The sequence below is a fragment of the Homo sapiens genome, chromosome 2, assembly GCF_000001405.40.
Source record: "Homo sapiens chromosome 2, GRCh38.p14 Primary Assembly".
Lineage (NCBI taxonomy): Eukaryota > Metazoa > Chordata > Mammalia > Primates > Hominidae > Homo > Homo sapiens.
This window is the reverse complement of record NC_000002.12, coordinates 6,806,201-6,827,842: the sequence shown is the minus strand read 5'-3', so window position 1 is coordinate 6,827,842 and position 21,642 is coordinate 6,806,201. Positions and strand designations below refer to the sequence as shown.

The 21,642-nt window shown below is 44.8% G+C and overlaps 2 annotated features.

Annotated features, from left to right (window-relative positions):
- Window positions 1,151-1,445: an enhancer, noted in NCBI's record as "tiled region #11536; K562 Activating non-DNase unmatched - State 5:Enh". NCBI's record gives its function as "activates a minimal TATA promoter and a strong SV40 promoter by Sharpr-MPRA in K562 cells {active_cell/tissue: K562}" and the evidence as "EXISTENCE:reporter gene assay evidence [ECO:0000049][PMID:27701403]".
- Window positions 20,807-21,369: an enhancer, noted in NCBI's record as "OCT4-NANOG hESC enhancer chr2:6946605-6947167 (GRCh37/hg19 assembly coordinates)". NCBI's record gives its function as "activates a minimal SCP1, AML or CMV promoter by ChIP-STARR-seq in naive H9 embryonic stem cells {active_cell/tissue: H9 hESC(naive)}" and the evidence as "EXISTENCE:reporter gene assay evidence [ECO:0000049][PMID:30033119]".

The window sequence follows — 21,642 nt, the reverse complement described above, 5'->3', positions numbered from 1 at the left end:
TGCTCTTAAAACCTCCCTACCCCCTCGTCATTGTAGAACTCTGGATGCACTGCTTATGTTGGATACAGCTAATGGGTCCTGCAAGGCCCAGGCTCTTGTAATTATTGAGCAATCGCCAAAATACTGTGGTTTAGAAAACACATCATAAACTTTTCTGTGGAGTCTCCAAAATTTTTATTAACATGCATGACATTAATGGTTGTGCTTATTTTGCCATAATTGAGGGTGTGTCCCATTTCTCTCAAATAAGAAGGCATTCAAGGGAGCTATCAAATTTCACTTTTGGCTGAACCTGGTCTGTAAGCTTTTCCAAACCTAATGCATTTATGCTCATCTTTGAGATTGAAAACATTATTTTCTGTGTTTTAATTGAAGAAAAAAAAATCCAAACACTCAAGTTCTCCATTCTGAAGCTGTAATTAAGAAAATATCCATCAATAAATGTGTAATTATTTTAAGCCATAATTTTTTTTCAGTAGGTCCTGTTGTAATAACTAACGATTGAAGAGTTTTCCTCATGCCTCCAAATGTCCTCACTAGTGTCTCTAGACTATTTCTACCTGAAGAGAGCTTGCATTAAAAATAAGGGTTAGGGTTAGGGAATTTGGAGATACATTTATAAGGTGAACTTTGGGTGGAACTGTGGTCATTTTATTAATTTTAAAAATTATTAATTCTTCCTCTTCTATGTGCATACATGCAAAGTAATGAATGAAGGAACTTCTGGCTACAAGCAGATGTAGGTACCACTTCTAACTGAGTTTGTGACCTCTGACAAGTTATTCATCTCTGGACTTTAGTTTTTTATTTGCAAAATAAGAAGGTCAGACATGAGGAGGACCAAGAGCCCATTTCTAGTGGGCCATGACTTTAATTTGCCATGATGAGTGGAAGTCACTTATAGTCTTAAATGCCTTATAATTTTTAACAGGATCATAACACAAGATATGCTGTTTTATGCCATTCTGTTACTATTCTAATAACTTGGGAAAGCATGGTATTGGTATATAATGTGTTCCATAATGCATTGGTTCCCTCAAAACCTTCAAGTAAATCAGTCTTTTGTAAAAAGACTTCACTTTATGTTCCCTAGGGAAATCGAAGTGACTTCTATGATGACTAAGGAGTGACCATTTCTATCACTTCCTTAGTCCAGTCCTTCATCTCCCATGAGAATCAACTGAGTCATTTCCTCCCTGATCTTCCTGCTGACACAATGCTCTACCGCCCCCTACAGTCTATTCTTTGAGCAGCACCCAATACCATCCCTACTAAACTTAATTAAAATCAACTCACCCACCTGTTCATCATGCTTAGGGCTTCATTCAGGCCTTGGTTCAGGTCTCTATTCAGCATTGCTCTTACAAGGGGCCTTCTCTACTACTCAGTCCCAGATAGTGCCTTGCATCGTTCTCCTCCCCTTGGCTCTACCTCCTTACTATTAATACCTACCTCTGTCTATGTCTATGTCCATGGCCATGTCTATGTCTGTATCACATCCATCATCATAACTGCATCTGTGTCTCTGATTACACTTGTATCTCTATCTATATGCATAGCTCTGCCTGTACCCACGTGCATATCAACAACCTTATCTATATCTGTAATATGCCTGTGTTGATTTCTACTCCTGAACTGGAGTCTGCACTCCATGAAGGCATGGACTTTGTTTTGCTCATTACTGTCATTTCAGTGTTTGGAACAATGCCTGGTATATACCAGGTTGGTGCAAAAGTCATTGTGGTGGTTTTGCTATTAAAAGTAATGGCTAAACACCACAATGACTTTTGCAAAGGAGCTCAATAAATATTTCTCAAATATTTATTGAGGTACAAATGTGGAACATTGACTTGAAGTGTCAATCAGACTTGACTGAGATTCGGATTGGGGCCCTTTTAGCTGTGTGATTGTGGACAAGTTATTTAATTTCCATGAGACTTCATTTTCTCATTTATAAATCAGAAATGTCATCATTTTTCTCAAAGGTCTTTTGTGAGGATAAAATTAGATATTATAATGAAAAAGAGCCATCTCAGCCCTGGCCAGGAAAAGCTCCAAGTTGAGGTCAATCTCCTTCTCCTTTCTGCTGTCTTGTTGAGAACATCCAGAATTTTATGCATTTTCTGGCTTCAAAGAGAAGCACACCTATTAATATTCACTGCTGGTTATCTTGAAAGTTGGAAAACCAAGACTTCCCAGCTGCAGGAGACGACATTAGATAAACATAAACATGACTTTCCACAGGAGGGACTGTCCCAATGCAGAGCAGATTTACTCGACTTTAAGCATGCTGATGGTAAATGTTCTCCCCCAAGGTCAAGAGCAATGGTGGTTTATTATTTAATTTTATTAGTAGACAAAAATGGGCAGTTAAGGACTGTATTTTTGCCACTAGAGAGCATCACCTTAAGCATTTTCCCCATCACCTGACATAAGTGACACTGTCTTATGAATTAAAACTTTGAAAGAGGCCTCTTTCTTTTTGTGGTTAAAAACCAAATACTTTTCCAATGGAGAATGCATCTCCCTTGGAAATAGTAAACATTCTAGTCAAGGAAAAGATGACCACTAAGCATCTGCTACGAGTTTCATACACCTCATTGTGCATATTGTTCACATCAAACCAAGCATCAGCTGCTACACTGATGTTGCGTAACCAGCCCCAGGTCATGTGGCTAATTACCCGTGGGTCCTGGAATCCATCTCATGTCTGTCTGACTCTGGAGCCAGGAAAGGGCTCCACCAGTGCTCTGTGATGCCTCAGGTGATGCAGAGCCAGTCTCTACTGATGGTTCTATCAAAAAACAAAAAAAACCAAAAACTGAGAGACAGAATCCCAAGTGTGTATAGTGTTACATTTGTGGAGCTCTTTGTTGTTCACTAATGGCTCCTTTATAAATCATTTCAGTTTTTCCCAGCTATAAAGTCACAAGATTTTATATCACTTTTCAGAGAAAGCAGAAGTTGTATGACTCTACTGAAGGTCCCAGTTAATAAGGAGCAGAGACCGGAATTCCTCCTTCTGATGGTAGACCCTTACTCTTTCCGCCATTCTCTGTGGACTTTTAGAAGAACTTTCATCCCGTAGTTACAGTCTTACTTATGCTTTTGCTGAGCATTTTCTAATAGACAGTCAGTCTAGCAACTGCTGGGAACACACAGAACCTAAACTAATGTGGACAAAGTCTCTGTCCTCGCACAGCTTTCGTTCTGAAGGACAGAGACAGGCAATAAACAAATAAATGTGTCTTTATAGTAGAATGATTTATAATCCTTTGGGTATATACCCAGTAAGGGCATTGCTGGGCCAAATGGTATTTCTGGTTCTAGATCCTTGAGGAATTGCCACACTGTCTTCCACAATGGTTGAACTAATATACACTCCCAACAGTGTAAAAGTGTTCCTGTTTCTCCACAGCTTCACCAGCATCTGTTGTTTCCTGACTTTTTAATAATTGCCATTCTGACTGGTATGAAATGGTATCTCTTTGTGGTTTTGATTTGCATTTCTCTAATGACCAGTGATGATGAGCTTTTTAAAATATGTTTGTTGGCTGCATAAATGGTTCATTTAATGTGTTTAAATGTACAGATTTTGTAACACTAAGAAGTTGCAATGCTATAATAACAGCATATCTTAGGTTGGGCATGGTGGCTTATGCCTGTAATCCTAGCACTTTGGGAGGCCAAGGCAGGTGGATCATTTGAATTTGAGGTCAGGAGTTTGAGGCCAGACTGGCCAACAAGGTGAAACCCCATCTCTACTAAAAATACAAAAATTAGCCGGTTGTGATAGTGGGTGCTTGTAATCCCAGCTACTCAGAAGGCTGAGACAGAAAAATTGCTTGAACCTGGAAGGTGGAGGTTGCAGTGAGCCGAGGTCACACCACTCCAGCCTGGGCAATGGAGACTCCGTCTCAAAAAAAAAAAAAAAAAAAAAAGTACATAATGTGCTTAGAATTTCAAAATTGTAAAAATTGTTTTGTTTCTTTTAATTCAAAGATATCTACATGCTTTTAAAATCAGTAAAGTTGCAATTAGCTGAAAAAAAATGCATAAGATATCAGGTGGTGTAAATACCACAGACAAGTCAAGTTCGTGAGGGGATAGGAGTACAACAGGGACAGGTTGAGGTTTTAAGTTGGGTGATGGGAGAAAGCTGCTTTGCTGGAGATGTTTGGGCACCTGATGGGAGTGACAAAGCCAGCCAGGGGATTGGCAGGGTTAAAGCAGCAACATCAGCACGATTATTTACAGCATCAACAAAACATTTAAAAAGCCGATTCTGTTTCCTAAATGTGAGGAGCTATCTGCTGCAGATCCAGTTGTGTTCCCTGAGAACAGGGAAGTGCAATGTAATGAAAGTCAGCCCCATTCCTTGAAGAAAAGTCCTCGTCTGAGCATCAGGAAATGGCCGAGCTGGTGTGTGATCTGCAAAGCGCATCTCACCCTGCCTGCTCTCTAAGACCCGGACAAAGCATGCTTTTGGTTTAAAGTAGTTTCTCTCAAAAGACTGCAATCTTCCTGGCAGATATCATGCATTTTTATCATATTTCCCAGAACAGCTCAGATTCTCAAGGACCATATACGTGAATTATCTATAGTGCAGTTAAATGTCATGAAGTTGTCTAAGCCTTTTTAATTAATAGGATTCATAAGTGCTCACTGGAAGTCAGTACTGTGGAATTCATTTTTTTCCTACTTGACATTTATGTAGCACTCTTTAACATTTGAAATATATTATCTCATTTTATTGTCGCAACAAGCCCATGAAGGAGTTGAATAGGAGATATATTATCTGTTTCTTCTACCTCTCTCCTTCCTTTCCTTTTCTTCCTTCCTTCCTTCCCTCCCTCCCTCCCTCCCTCCTCCCTCCCTCCCTCCCTTCCTTCCTTCCTTCCTTCCCTTCCTCCCTCCCTCCCTCCCTTCCTTCCTTCCAAAATGGAAAGTTAAATGGTATTTGATGGGAAGAAAACTGCTGGAATTCTACTGACTTAAAAATAACAGGATATACTTTCCAATCATCAAAATTAACAAACGTTTGTAGAAAATATAATGTTTGCTTGCTGAGAAGAGTCTGTGAGACAGCATCCCCTGCCATGGGAATGTAAAAAGATACAAATCTTATGGAAGGCCACGTGGGAAAATGCACCAGGAATTTAAAAAATGTGTTTACCTTTTGACATCAAAATTGTACTCCCCAAAGACATCATTAGAACTGCAATAAAAGTCAATAAACCAAAAATATTTATCCCAGCATTACTTATGAGAGCAAAACTTGGAATAAAGCAAATTGCTTAACAATAGGGAAAGGTTAAGTGAGCTGTGATACCCGGCTTTGATGGAATAGGATGCAGTCACTGGGGACTACACTGGGGGTATTCTACTCTCTGGAGGAGAGGTTAGAGATAACTTGACTTTCTGGCCTCTTACTTTTTGCCAAAACAGTCTCCAAATCCCAGCAGTGGGGGCCAGTTTGGAGATGCATGTAGGCTGCAAGTACTCTCAGCAGCCACAGCAGGCTAGACTTAGAGACAGGGCAGCTTCCTCTGTTTAGTCTGGTGGAATTTCTGAAGAAAGAGATGTTAGCACGAGGCCAGGCAGTGATGGCTCCAGGCGGGATGGGGTGGGGGTCCTGCTTCATGGAGGCTTGTTTTTCCCTACAAGGGAAGAATCTGGAGCCCAGGGTTCCAGGACCAGGCAGGTCATTAGCTCGCTGAATAAATGTGAAGAAACTAGTTTACCGCACACCTCTGCCATTTTCTCATCTGTGAAAGGACTGATGGAAAAGAGTGTTAATGTAAGCAATATTTCTACAGCTCCTAATTTCTGCTAGTCATAGTTCTAAGCACATTACAAATAGCAGCTTGTTAAATCATCAGGACAATCCTTCGAGGTAGGTAATGCTCTTCTCCCCACCTAACTGATCAGGAAACAAAGACGGAAGGAGGTTAAGTAGCTTGCTGATGGGGTTCGAAGCCACGCTTTTAAACTCTACACTCCACTGCCTCTCAATAAAAGATTTGTAAGTTCCCTCTCAGCTCTCATATCCAATGACTATAATTTTAGGAGGTGAGTTTTCAGCCAGTATATAAGAGTCTTGTTCCAATCCCTTAAACTGCATTTTGATTTCACTCGTCTCTTGTTCTTCCTTCTCTTAGGACAGATTTCCCATCTGAAATCCCATTGTATTAGTTACGGTGGATATGGGTCTGCACGCGGAAGGGAAAAGTCGGGTTCTAGCTATACACAGAGCTCATGAAAGATATATTTTAGCTCCTCGAGGCCTGCAGGAGCTGAGGGGGTGACAGGCTGGCTCTGGGCTCCCCACACCTGAGGGACCCAGCTACTCTCCAGGTGCTTCTCGTCACCTCTGCTGAGTGACTCCAAACTGTTCTGTCAGCCCCGCCTTCCCTCAGGCTCACAGGAGCCCAGGTCAAGAAGGAACCACAGACGTACTTCCTCCCCTGCCCCTTCCGTCCCCTGGGAGCTGACATTTCCTTTGCAGCAGTCCGTCCCAGTTTACCCAGGAGCCTGGAGCTCAACGCTGGGGTGAGCGTGCGCTCCGGCCTCTCTCCACCCCCTGGTTCCAGTCACCTCTCTGGAGGGGCATGGGGAAAATTATGATTTCTCTCCCCTGGGTGACTTCTGGGGGCAACTCCTGGGGTGCTGAGACTTTCTTTTTTCTCTCTAGATGAGAGCACCCACGCTTCCTCCAACTCCTGCCGCAGAGCTGCGTTTCCTCAGTACTGCTGTCCGCTTCCAGCCCCGCTCCGACGCATCTGACGTCATTTCCTCGTCTTGTCTCTGGACCTGGTTCTCCCAAGGCCTCAGTCCCTGTGTCCATGGTCCCTCTGTTCCTGGGCTCCCTGGAGTCCATTGGGAATCCGAGTCCTCGCCTTCCCATCATCTGCCTCTGGAATGACCCTTGGGTTTGTCTTTCGCTCTCTCTCCGTTCTGCCACCTTCCCGGTGCTTTAATCAGGCATCAGTCTTGTAGCTGTAGCCAGGACCCACCAAGCCACTCCATTCTCTTCTCAGCTCCCGGAGTGTGATGGTTAATATTGACTGTCAGCTTGATGAAATTGAAGGATGCAAAGTATTGTTCCTGGTGTGACTGTGAGGGTGTTGCCAAAGGAGATTCACATTTGAGTCAGTGGGCTGGGAGAGGCAGACCCACCCTCAATCTGGGTGGGCACCATCTAATCAGCTGCCAGCATGGCTGGAATAAAAGCAGGCAGAAGAACATGGAAAGACTAGACTGGCTTAGTCTTTTGGCCTCCATCTTTCTCCCGTGGCTTCCGTGCTCCTCAGCTTGCAGATGACCTGCTGTGGGACCTCATCTTGTGATCGTGTGAGTCAATTCTCCTTAATAAACTCCCCTTTATACATAAATCTATCCTATTAGTTCTGTCCCTCTAGAGAACCCTGACTAGTACACAGAGCAATCCTGGAAATAGCCTCACTGCCTCACCACTCCCCCTGGGAGACTTTTCTTTACTTCCCTCTTTGACTTGCACTCTCCCCACTGGGCCAAGCAGGCTTCCCACTACCGGGGCTCCTGTGCTACCCCAGGGACACTCAGGGTCTCACCCCTTAAGCCCGTGCCTCTCATTGTCCCTGCTCATCCCCACCTGGGCTGCCCAGCTTCTCCCACTCCTGCCTCGTGTTCTTTCAAATCCCTGATCAAGTTTGGCTTCTGAAATGGACCCTTCTTCAGTCCCCTGGGCCCACTCAGCCTTCCTTCCTCCCGGTGTTCAGGGGACTGAATTAGCCACAGTTTAACCTTTTGTTGGCCTTTGTTTCACATCTATTCATTATTTTAGAAATGTTGTGTTGTCGTGTGAAATAATGCATCTACAGGCTAAAAATTAAAAGACAGTGTAAAAAATATGCGGTGAAAAGTGAGTCTCCCTCTGCCTGAACATCCAGTGCCCATTCCCGGGGCTGACATGCACTGTTCCTTATGTGCCCTTACAGAAAATGGCCATGTGTGAAGTCACTATGCATATTCTATTTTTAGTTTGTTACTAAAGCACACAGCAGCTTACAATGCAATTTTTTTCTATACCTTGTTTTTCTCTCTAGAATATTAAAATATTGCTTGGAAAATATACATACTTTGGAATTATTTTCACATGAACATATAGCTACTTCACCTGTTTTCACATCTGTGCAGCATTTCATTGTATAGATCAATCTGAATTTATTGAGTGGATTATTGACTGTTGTTTCCAGTTATTAGCTAGAATCATCAGTGCCTCCAATGAACACCAGCATGTGTGTATGTGTGCCTATATGTGTGCATACATGTATTTGTGTATCCCTATGAGAATATCTGTAGGATAAATGCATTATAAAGTAACCACTGAGTCAAAGAATGCATTCATTTTATTTTTCATTTGTTCACAATTGATCACCTTGGCATCCAAAAAAAGTTACATTAATTTAGTCACACCAACAGTGGAAAATATCCTCCTGTTTTAATTTTCGTGAGTTATATAAGCAAACAATCCCATAGCACTGTTTTAATTTGTATTTTTTAATATAAATGAGTCTGTACATTAGCTTCTGTTTCTAAGCCTTTTGTATGTCCTCTGTCTCTTCACATACTCTGCTGATTACCCTACTGGGTCACTGTCCTTCTAGAATATCGATTGGTAGAGATTCCTTTATATATTTACGTACCTTTATATATTTACATACAGGTCCTGTGTCTTTTGCATTGTACAAATTTTCCAAGCGTGGCTTTATGTTATTTTTTTTCCTGAAGAAGTGTTAACGTTTTTTATGTAGAATTGAAACGTATTCACCTTTTCCTTAATGGCATCTGACTTTGATGCTTTGTTTAGAAAGTTTTCCCAATTCCAAGATACTTTTTAGTCTTAATTTTCTTCCAGTTCATGATTTCACTTTTTACTTCTATTTTGTAATCCATCCAAAATTATTTTAGTGTTAAAATATATGCTAATTTTTCTCTTCACCTATCTCTCATGAGTTATTTTGATGGCAAGAGCTGCATTTTGCATTTGAAATCTACTGAAGATGCAGCAACGTGTTTGGCGAGTACATGGCACTACATGCTTACTTGCTGCAACGACACATGTTCGCTTTAATTCGTATTAAGCAGTACCCCTACATGTAGGCACTGCTAGCATAGAGATAACTGTTGCTATTCACTGAAAACTTACCATGTGCTGAGCAAACTCTCTGGAAATTTTACCCATTTAAAATCCCACAACCCTGCAAGGTGTGTATTTTTATCTCTATTTAATATATAAGAGAAAGGAAGATCCTGAGGTCACACATGTTAAAACTGGTCTCACAGAAACAAGACCTGAACATAAGTTGTGTGTCTTCGGAATGCTGAGGTTTTCCAGTCTCTGTTCCTGCCAGTAAGGGTGGAAGCAGGGGTTGGATGATGCATGGATACATGGAGTAACCTCTTTTCGTTCCACTAACTGGAATTTATAGTCCTAAAGATTCAGTCTTTACATTAAATATTTTTCTGAATTGGATTTAAACCTCTTCACCATCTACTGAGCCTGATGAGGTAAGACTCATAAATGTTACATGTTGGCTTCTGTCCCGGTGCAGTAGATATGGACACTTCACAGTGATCATTTCCTCCTAATTGGTTGTAACTAATGCACTGCCATTCTGAAATTTGTCACTGACCGAAATGTACCTTAGCAAATGGACCGTGTTCTCCATCTAATTATAAATTGACACACACTAAAACACAGCTCAGCAAGAGGCAAGTGGGATTGAGAAGAAAAAGGGGACCTGAAGGATCTGCCCGAGTGGGCAGTAGTTGACCTGGTGAGCAGGCTGCTTCCTGCTAAATCTCTTCTGGGTGAGAGAGGACAGCAGAAAAAGCCTGGAGTTGGGAATCCAGAGACTGCTGGAGAGGCAAGCCAGTGCTAAAAGTCAGTGTGGTCTCCTGCATTTGCCTTTCCTCTTCGTGGGTCTATTTCCTCATAAGAAAAATGAAGAGGCTCCATTAAATCTATGGTTTCAAACTCTGCTCTGCAGAGGTCACTTGGGGTCACTGTAAAGAAGAAGGACCCCACGCTGGCAGAGAGCGAGTCCTCTGCTCCGACCCACCTGCACAGCTCTCTGCTTTACTTCTTTTATATCTTAGGGCTGCATGGATAACAATATCTTAAACACCAAAATTGGGGCTCTCCCTGGTGCCTCCAGCTCTGACATCTGAGATCTCCCTGAACAAATGCTTGTGCTCCAGCCACAGCACCAAGCCTCACTGTGCTCCTGCCCTGATGAACAGTGAGCAGGACAGACCCAGCTTGTGCCCTGCCTCCTGGTTTCCAGACCCTCCCTGCCAGCCAGGAGATAAAACAGAGGTGCGGGAGAGGTATCAAAGCCAAGACAAGCCAGTGGGAGCAGCCTTGGTTAGTCTTGGCACCCTCAGGAGCAGGTCAACACACCCTAATGGGGCAGCCAGCCCATCCCCTGTGAAAGGAACTCATGTAGCAGAGGGTGATGGGGGCACCTGTGTCCCTGTGCAGAGTTTCCAGGCCTGGCAGAGGCTGAGGACACATGCAGCACCTGCCTGCCCCAGCTGGTGGACCATGGGTTGCTGTCCTGGGTTGGACATATCCAGGCAGGGTGAGTGAGGGGAGCAAACATACTGAGAAATTGAGATGACACATGACACTTTTAGATGGAGGGGATCTTTGCTTTCTTTTTGTTAAACAAACCAGAATGTCAATGAAATCATCTTTCTCTCTCTCTCTGTCTCTGTCTCTGTCTGTCTCATCTCTATTCTCCTGAGCTGTGATTTAAGTGCTCCAAGGGTCTGAAGGTTTGCACACCAATGTGGTAAAATGGCACACATAGTATTTGTGTTGGGATTAATTCTCACTGCCTTGGGGCCAGGCTGAAACCCTCAAGCTTGAAAGAGCCAGACTTTGGAGGAGAAGCACACTTGGAAGTGAGAGAGTGAGAAGAAAATGAATTCAGAAAGATCTGCAAGGAACCTCATCTCTGCCTTTACAAGCTGGTGGGAAGTTACAAGCTGAAGTAATTTACAGGCAAATTACTTCACCTGTCTAATTGTCATTTTCCATATTTGTGCAAAGGTGATGTAGATTAGCTTTGGATCCCTAATGCTAATACTAGTGTCTACCTTCTAAATTTGTTCTAAGAATTGTTAGAAAACTACTTGTCTTAGCTAACACATCTGAAATATTTGTTCATTAGATGAAAGCAATTATTTTGCCCAGGTTAACATACCCTCTAATGGCTTTATACATGTGTGTTGCCATTGTTATTATTTAATATTGTATTCTACTTCCCCTCGGCAGACAGAACCCACCATGCGCACACGGAGTGTGTCAGCATGTAATTTCCGTAGACTCATGAAAAGGTCAAAGAATACAATTTTGGAGAAAAAGTTAAAATAACTATTTAAGTCCCAAAGGGCAGAAATTGAAGTCTACCTTCAAAGTCTTATCTTTCCTCACTGCCTTTTCCATGAACTATCCAGCGTTTAAAGGAAACTTTTCCACGTCAGAATTCAGAAGTATGTGTGGGCACCAGAGTGAGAGCTTGGGCTCTACCACTCATTTCTTTAGAAATGTCACTTCCTGTGGGTCATTTCCTCTCCTGAGAGGTCCACCTTTTCGATGTAATGATTCTGAAGTTCATTCGTTTCCAAAGTAAGTTCTTTGATTCTCTTCTATCTGCATCCTGAGTCCATAGTTTCTACATGAAAATTAAGAGACATGGTTTGACGAGTCCAAGCTTATGATGGAGAAAATGGGAAGAGATATTTGAAGTTGAAGTGGTCTACAGTTGGGACCTTTCTCAGGATCTTTCTGATGACTTGAGTTTATTGCTCAGCCTATTGTAATTCCCTACATGCCAGTTTGTATTTTTTTTTAACTTTTATTTTAAGTTCAGGGGTACATGTGCAGGTTTGTTATACAGGTAAACTTGTGTAATGGGGGTTTGTTGTATAGATTATTTCATCACTCAGGAATTAAGCCCAATACCCATTGGTTATTTTTGCTGATCCTCTCCCTCCTCCCACCATCCACCCTCCACCCTCTGACAGGTTCCAGTATGTGTTGTTCCCCTCTATGTGTCCATGTGTTCTCATCATTTAGCTCCCACTTACAAGTGAAAACATGCAGTGTTTGGTCTTATGTTCTTGTGTTAGTTTGCTAACGATCATGGTCTCCAGCTGCATCCATGTTCCTGCAGAGGACGTGATCTTGTTCTTTTTTTATGGCTGCGTAGTATTCCATTGTGTGTATGTACCACATTTTCTTTATCCAGTCTACCACTGCTGGGCATTTAGGTTGATTCTATGTCTTTGCTAGTGTGACTAGTGCTGCAGTGAACATACAGATGCATGTGTCTTTATGACACATGATTTATATTCCTTTGGGTATATATCCAGTAATGGGATTGCTGGGCCTAATGGTATTTCTGTTTTTAGGTCTTTGAGGAATCGCCACACTGTCTCTCACAATGGTTGAACTAATTTACACTCCCACCAGCAGTGTATAAGTGTTCCTTTTTCCCTACAACCTCACCAGCAGGCTGTTAGTTTTTGACTTTTTAATAATCACAGATCATCAGAGAAATGCAAATCAAAACCACAGTGAGATATTTATCTCACCCTAGCCAGTTTGTATTTTCTGTGTTGGAAATTCTATACTTCTAATTTTCCAAATACTCTTTCTTTGGGCAGTGTGTGACGCAGCCCCAGTGACGTGTGTGTCATGTAGTGCTGACACGTGGTGCTGTCAGGCTGGCTCTGGAGACAGGTACTGGGGCTCTGTTCAAGATGTCACCATTTTCTATGAAAACAAACTCATTTAAGACTGAGAAAATGTTTCCGCGAAATTTTCAGTTTCAGCTATCATACACTTAGTATCCAAAGATTAAGTTGCTCTCAGAATGCCCCCTGTCATTTTTAAATGAACTTTAATTGTGGGAAAACACACATGAAAAAATTACCATCTTAAGACTTCGTAGTTGTTAAATTCAGTCGTGTTAAGTACATTTCACAGTGCTGTGCAACCAACCCCTGGACCTCTTTTCATCTTGCAAAACTGAAACTCTGTACCCATTAAGCACCAACACCCTACCCTCTCTCTATCCCCAGTCCGAGGTGACCGCCATTATACTTTCTGTCTCTGAGAATTTACATCGTATCAGTGGAATCACACAGCATTTGTCTTTTTGTGAGCGGCCTGCTTCACTTAGCATAATATGGTCCAGGTTCATTCATACTGTAACACGTGTGAGAATTTCCTCTTTTTGAGGCTGAATACTATGCCATTGCATGCATGTTGCATGTTTTGTTCAAGGACGAAAGCTTGGGTTGTGGCCGGTTCCTGCCACTGTGGGGGGTGCTGCTTGAACGTGGTGTGCACCTGCTCTGCTCCCCACCCTGCTCTTCCTCTGTGGATGCAGCGTCTGCCTTGCCATCTCTTCTCAAACAGGGGATTTCGTGACCACCTTTCTGTCCTTTCAAAGAAGATATTTTTCTTGTCCTCATTCTCTCATTTTTTAAGGTTCCTTTTTTTTCACTTTTTTTCTTCTTTTTGTCTTTCCTTGTTTCTTCTGTGTGGGTTGAATGGTGGCTTTCATAAAGATAAATTCAAGTCCTAACCCCCAGAACCTGTTACCGTATTTGGAAAAGGGGAATTTGCAGACATTAAGCTAGGGATCTCAACAGAAGATCATCCTGGATTATTAGGGTGGGTGCTAAATCCAATGGCAATGCCCTCAGAGGATGCATGGAGAGCAAGGAGGAGGTCACGTGGAGACAGAGGCAAGGACTGGAAGCCATGGAACATCCAGAACCACCACAGCTGGAAGAATCAAGAAACAGATTCTCCCTTAGAACCTTACGGGGGAGTAGGATTCTGGCCTCCAGACTGACACCCTGATTTAGGATTCTGGGCTACAAAACAGCAAGAGAATATATTTCTGTTGCTTTAAGTGACCAAGTTAGTAGTCATTTGTTAAGATAGGCATAGGATACTAACCCTTCCTTCCTTCCTTCCTTCCTTCCTTCCTTCTTTCCTTCCTTCCTCCCTCCCTTTCTTCCTCCCTCCCTCTCTCCCTCCCTTTCTTCCTTCTTCCTCCCCGCTCCCTCCCTTTTTCCTCTCCCTCTTTCCCTCCCTCTCTCCTCCCTTCCTCCCTTCTTCCCTTCCTCCCTCCCTCCTTCTCTCCCTCTCCCTCCCTCTCTTCTTCTCTCCCTCCCTCCCTTTCTCCTTCTCTCTTTTCCTCCCTCCTTCTCTCCTCCACTTCCTTCCTCCCTCCCTCCCTTTCTGCCTCCCGTACACATCTAATCACATGTAAGTGTTGGGTAAAGCAAGCAGACAGCAGCTCTCAGGATGGCTGTGTGTGCTCCTGTGTGGATGCAGTGGGGTTGTTTTGTGCTGCTGCTGGGGACTGGGCAGGAACCTAGCTGTTTTGTCCACTGACGCGTCCTCCATCTGTTGCCTGATCTCTGGTCAGGGCACGGAAGGCGGGGCCCCTTGCTCTGTGGGCAGACTGTCATGGGCTCCTCCCATTTTGTGTGTGATGCCTTCTGCTCGGTGGGGCTGCTGTCCTGGCTCCAGGATCCTTTGGTTCAGCATCTCTAGTGACCCCCGTGTTTTCACAAGGGTGGGGCAGGGCAGCTCCCCTGTAGCTGATGTTGGAGGAAGGCACTGGGAGCCGCGTTGCCGCTTCTATAAATTCCCAGCCCAACTGCCTCTCGCTGTAACTGCCCAATGGGGCTTCAAGTCCATGAGCCTCCTCAGGGGGTGAGTGAGGGCCTGCTGGCTCTGAGCTGGGGTCTCAGGTTTCCTGCTTTGCTGAGTCAGGTGCTGCTTGTTGATGTTTCTCAGCCTCTAAACTTTTCTCTCTTTCTGATGTTGTCTTCTCTCCGGTTCCCTTTGTCCTTTAAAGTTTATGCCTTTTAGTTTTATCTCTTTGTTGTCATTTTAATGGGATTTTAGGAGGGTAAGGATGTTCAATCTGCCCTTTAACCCAAAGTCCTGAGGTCTTTTTATAAAAGCTAATTTGAATGCTTTGAACTGAATAAAAGGAAGTAGCTAAAATAAATGTTGAATTTGATATGGGAACGATAACTGTACAGGAGGGGAAATGGCAAAAATCAAAAGCATCCGGCATTATGATTGCTTCACAAGCATCTTGGAATTCTCATCCCACTTAGGAAAGAGAAGCAGGGAGTGGAAAACGATACAAGGCAGAAAAAATAGACTCACACTTGAAGAAAATTGATAGGTCTGAAAATTGATAGGTCCTACATAGGAATATACCTTTAAAAAAGAATTCAAATGCTGCATACATATATCCACCTCGCAAGGCGTGTTAGGGCTGGCTGGTGCTGGTGCAAGGCCACTGAGCACTTCCTGGCTCCTGACCTGGCACCTGGAGCATTTACCTCACGGCAGTGAACAAATGTGACAAAGGAGGGTTCTTCCATCCCCAGCCAGCTGTTAAACGTTCACCAACACATCACTGCATGTAATGTGTAAACAGATACACACACACACACTCGCATGCATACACCGCTTATAGGGCTTGAGTGTAAGTCCGTGAGCATGATCTTTCTTGATGACTTCTGCTTTAATTGATGTGGGCTTTCTGGCCACATAGGCCCTCATCATTCACACCTCTGAGGACGCCTCCGGTCCTCCTCTGTCTGTTTCCAGCCAGTGCCTGGGCTTGCACTGACCTGGCAGGTTTCTCTGCGTTGTTAGGGCCTGGCTCGGGGATCTTTTTCTTCAGGGACCCTCCTTGTCATTTTCAGGCAGAGTATGGGTCTCTCCTCTGTGTAGGCTCTGCTCGCCTCTCTCCGAGGCCCTGTATTCTGGAATCTTGTGGCTCTCTCTTGGATCCTAAGCTTCCTATGGCACTTGTGTTCCCAGTACTTGGCAGGGATCCTGTTTCTCAACAGTGCTAGGGGTCGATTAAAGGAAGAAGTGAGCACACAATGGTCCCATGGATCAAGCGGCAAATACAGAAGGAGGGCCCACCTTGCCCTGGGGTAGCCCAGGCATTGAGGTCGGCTTTTTCCCAGGAGATGCCTAGAAGGCTCAGGGGAGCCCATGCATCCCCAGTCTTGCTGACTGCCCCATCCCAGCTGGTCCCCAACAGCACAGCCTTTGGGCAGTTGGCACTGATTTCCTAGTCTGCGAACTTCTGTCCAGTGTGCGGTCTATGCTAGCCAGCTTGGCCAAGTCCCTCTCTGCAGGCTCTCCCTCTGGGGCCCCCGTTGTCCCCTGCAGCCTTTGCAGAGTGACACCAGCCAGGGCAAAGACATGGGAGAGGTGGCCGTGCAGCCCCTGCTCTCACACAGAGGCTGAGCCCCCTGAGAATGGTGGTCATGGGGAGACGGGTTGGATAAGCAGTGACAAACCATCTCCAGATGTGGTGGGGAGCAGGAGCCTTGGTCCAAGGTGCATTGACCACTGTTCTTCTCCCTAAACGCTCCATTCAGATTTTGAAGTAAAACATTGCTAGGGATAGTTATTTGTAACGTGAAAACTGAATATTAGCTCTGAATGGAAAGAAATACATGGAAAGCAACTTGCTGCTGACCTCGCTTTTCTGGGTCTCTGCCTAGCAGGGCTTCCCAGATGGCCTGCCTCTCACACAGCCGTGTTACCATGCTCACTGTGCTGCTCTGCCCCTGTGCTGCTTATGAGATGCCCTGTACAGCAGCAGATGGCCAGGGCCCCAGGACAAGGCCACCTGCTGCCACGGCTCTGGAATAGAGTGTGAAGCCATTGGAACCAGTTGTCCCTTGAGAGACATGGCACTCACCTGTGTGCAGGTGACTACAACATGTGGGGTGCCTTTGCTGGAGGAACAAAGCGGACCTTTTTGGGGGTCTCCAGAAGAGGCATTGGTGTTTGCCTCATGTTTTAAATCATTTTCTATAAACTCTGTTGTCATAATCTTTCTCTGCATCTTTCTCACTCATGAGTGCCCATAACCAGTCTTCACGGCCCCCTGCACACACAGACCCTCTCCGATGCACATGTGTATCTGATCTTCCCCACACAGGGCTACCTATGAATACAGGGAGAGTGTATTTCAACTGGGAATATGACGATAGCTAACATTTGTGTAGCACTTTCCATAAGTCAGGCATTTTGTAAGCCCTTTACCTCTATATACTCACAGATTCTTCCAGCACCTCTACGAGCTAGTAGCATTCTGATTCCCACGTCACAGATAAGGCCCCCGAGGTGTGGAGAGGTCAAGTCACTCGCCAAAGGGCAGCACAGCCGGGAGAGGCTGCGCTGGCTTGGAACCCGGGCTGTGTGGCCTCAGAGTTTCTGTTCTTCATGTCACATTTCTATCGTCATTCACGGAGTGTCCCAGCTGATTGTGTCCCTCAAACAGATGTAGAAGCCCTAGCCCCTAGGACCTGTGCATGTGGCCTTATTTGGAAATAGGGACTTTGTAGATGTAATTAGTTAGCATGAAGTAATTAGTGTGGGCCCTAATCCAGTAGGACTGTGTCCTTACAAGAAGAGAAGACAGAAGCATATAAGGAGAAGAGGGGCCATTGGACAGCAAAGGCAGGAAATCAGGGGGAGGCAGCTGTGAGTTCACTGTCAGACAGGGAGAGGCAGCTGTGAGCGCACTGCCAGTCGAATGACAATACAAATGTGATGTGAAGAACCCAGATTCTGAGGCCAGACAGCCCGGGTTCCAAGCCGGTGTGTGGCCACTCCCAGCTGTGCTGCCGTTGGCAAGTGACGTGACCTCTCCATACCTCAGATATCTCATGCCAAGGATTTCCAGCAAACATCAGAGGCTAGGACAAGGCAAGGAATGATTCTCTTCCATGGGTTTGAGAAGGAGCATGGCCCGGCTGATTTCAGGCTTCTGGCCTCCGGAACCATGAAAGGAAAAGATTTCTGTTGCTTAAGCCATCCAGTTTGTGGGACTTTCTTACAGCCATCCCAGGTAACTGACATACTGCGGGCTGCCCTGAGCCAGGTCCTTTCTCACTCACAAAGTCACCTGACCACCAGAACGCACCTGCAAGTTGAGTACATCCTCAGCCCCATTTCACAGATGAGGAAGGTGAGGCACAAAGTCACCCAACTTTAAAAATTTGAACCAAAGCTTGACTGCTTCCAAGAATTGTGCTCTTTCCGTAATGTTCCTTCAAATTCTTGCTGTGTTACTCTCATTGAATGAAATAGCTATTTTATTATATGTGCTAGTAGAACACCCACTGAATTTTCATTCTCCAGGGTAATTTCTTTACTCTTCACTTAAAATTTATTGATCATTTCTTATGTGCTAAGCCTGTTATGGGGATAAAAGAAGCTAAGAGATCGTCCTTTCCTTCAGGAGGTCATAACCTAGCTGGGAGACAGACCTACAAGGCACTGACAGTGCCATGGCGATATTGCTCCCGTGGAATCAGGAATAACTAATGCATGCTAAGAGGGAAGAGGAGACAACTTTCACGAAAGATGGAGGACACACCCAGAAAATGAGTAGCTCTTGAGTTTTAGACAAGAAGATAGATTTAGGAAGACAGCCTGGAAAATGGACTTAGGGGATGCCAGTGGGTGGAGTCATGGGAGCTCATGGTGCGAGTGGGTGCTGGTGGTGCCTGGTGTGGCTGGAGAGGGGAGAGGTGGACATGGAAATACTGCTATGTCCTGGACGCCTTCCAGAGCCACGCGAGGTCATTCCCAGGTATTCTGTTGGTCGGGCTTTTCTGGGTGCACTACTATCTAATCTCTCCTGGGGCTCCTAAGGAGGGAATGCAAGAGGTGTTTAGCAAAGAAGAGCCTTCAGTCAGGCAGAAAGTCAGGTCTCTGGCCCTTCTCCCCAGCCAAGCACAGCAGCCCCATCTGGATCTGATTTTTTCCAGCTTCCGCTGCAAGTTTTCTCCTCTTCCTCCTTTCTCTCTTCCTCCTCCCTCTTATTCTTATTTCTCTCCCTTCCTCACTCTTTCTCCTTGCACCTCTTCCCTTCCTCCTCGCTCCTCACTTCTCCCTCCCTCTCTCCTCCCTCCTCCTCCCCTTTCTCTTTTGCCAAAACATATTTTTGGTCTAATGGTCTAACTAAATAAAAAAATAGCATCCCTACAGTTTACAAATGAGTGTCACAGAGCATGACAGAAGACTTCCTGAGTAACAGAGATGTTCTAAGTAGCACTTTGAAGCTGCTCATTAAGCTTTTATGTCATGGTCCATTGTACACATAGATCACTACAGCTCCTTACGCTAACCTCCCAGTTCTCTGTTTTTAACCATAATATGTTCTGGCTCCTTTCTAGATGACAGTTTTTTGGTTGTCATATGTGATGACATCACTAGAAAAACTTTGACAAGAATTAAATTTCTATATCTGTCTTCACTGTGGCCTCTTTGACTACTGAAATGGCCCAGGGTGGGGTTCCTGGACCGAGCATGTGCAGAGCAAGTTTGGCCCTTCTGCTGTGGATCTCATGGGGAGGCCAGTTATCACATTCAGGACAAATCCTGGATGGGAGCATTTCTTTTGGGCCAAGGTAAGAACTCCATTTATGTGCTTCCTATGTTCATGTACACTTTCTCATTTAACCCCATAGTGATAATGCTAAGAGGGCTTTATTTTTGTTTTATGGATGTGGAAACTGGACACAGGAGTGCTCAGCAGTGGAGGTCAGTTGTTGCGTATAATAAGTGGGGAAGTGAGAACTGGAGACCATGGCTCTGAAGTTGAGTCTCTGCTCCCCCGCATCCTGCTAGGCCTGATCTTTTCTCTGTCCTCCCCTTCCTATTCACCCTAACCTGATAGAAGAGTTCCATCATTGACATTAAGAGCACTTTTCACAGCTAATCAAATATTGTGACTCACTTTGACCACCCCTTACCAGATAGAAGTTTCACACTGAAAAGGGCAAAAGGCGCCCTCATCTTGGTAACAAGGTTGGGATGGGGGTGAGGGCTGGGGGTGTGGAGGTAAAGGGGGTCAGTCCTCACTTCTTGTATTTTACCTTACAGAAGGCAGACTATGCTGTGCTTTGGGGTTCAGAAAATTTGGGTCCCTTATTCCCAAGTAAGATTGTTAACCCACGGGGACTTCTTGATACCAAGACCCCTAAGCCCATTCAGAATAGTCTGAGCGACCCTCACCAGGCAGGAACATTGAAGTCCTGTGGACAAAACAGAGGCTTTGGGACCTGCAGAGTGAGGTTCCAGGGACCCCAGCTGGCTACTCTGGGTGAGTCGTTTTATTTCCCTGAGGCCCCATTTTCTCATCCGTAAAGTTGGGAGAATAACACCTGTATTCCAGAAAAGCTCAAATGAAATGAGTTAGGGGATGTGTCTGGCCCAAAGTAGGCAAAAATACACTTTTCCTCCCGGTCATACCTGTGAACAGTGTTACAGGGAGGTCCCAGGTAGTGCATACGGATCCGACCTCAGGAAACACATGATCTGTTTAATATGATTAGATACCTGCTCTGAGAATATTCGGAATTACGGATTTGAGATCAGGAAGTTCAAAACAGTCTACATTATAAAATTTTTGCTTCTTTCCAAACTTGCCTACACAGGGACAAGTAATTATTTAAAGAGATATTGGGATTCTGAGTCCAGAAGACACATTTCTTACTCCGGGGCTTACTGGAAGAGGAGCTGGTTACCTACTAGCCACTGAGCTTTCAGGTCATTTGCCTTTGGAAGACGGCCCCATTGGACTGATTTCTCCTCATTGAATTTCCTGGTGCATCCAGTCCCTGCACATCCTATGCCTCCAGACCCTTGAAGGGAACTGGGAATCCGCCAGTGGCAAGAGAGGGAGGTCCTTGTCCATCACAGCCTGGCTATCTGGGGAGGAGGGAGAGGCAAAGGGTGTCCCTCTGGGTCTGGGACAGGAAATGTGACCCAGGGTGGCTGAGCCAGCCCAGCACCAGCTCCTCTCTGCATGCCTCTTGCCCCTTCTTTGTAAGGAGGCATTCATGAAATCTGGGAGAGCCTGTTAGGCCAAAGATACTAGCAGTGGAACGCGAGGCTTAGGGAGTGAGTACTCTGTAATCTATGGAAAAGAGATGTGATCTGCGTCCCTCCCATCCTCTGTCCCCACTGGGAGGCTTGGGGCAAGCCCTTTTAAATGCAAACACAAGACAGCAGGGACCAAACAACTTGCTGGGGCCTGAACATGACGCTGGCAGCCTCACTGGCTTTGTCCAGTGAGTGAGCCGGCTCCAGTCTCGGGATACAGAGACTCATTCATTTATTCATTTCATTTCATCCATTTCCTTTCCTTAACAGATATTTTCCAAACACTCATTGTGACAGCACCTAGAAATAAGTGAGCAAAATAAATAAAACAGAGCCTGTGACCCCAGGAACTTACACTCAACTGGAGAAGGCAGAAAGGCAAATAAACCCTCAGAAATCAATCTAAAAGTGGAATTTTGTGCTACTTTGAAAAACAGGCAATGGAGCTGTGACTGTCTAGGGAGGAATGGGAAGACTTCACAGAAGAGGGGTAAACTGCCTCTGAAGGAGATCAGGGTGAAGGCAGAAGCAGGAAGGCAGGCTGGACAATGTAGGGAGTTTCAAATCACTGGGTGGTTCCCACCTGGGCCAAGGGTGCAGCCCTGCTGGAGAGGTAGATGAGA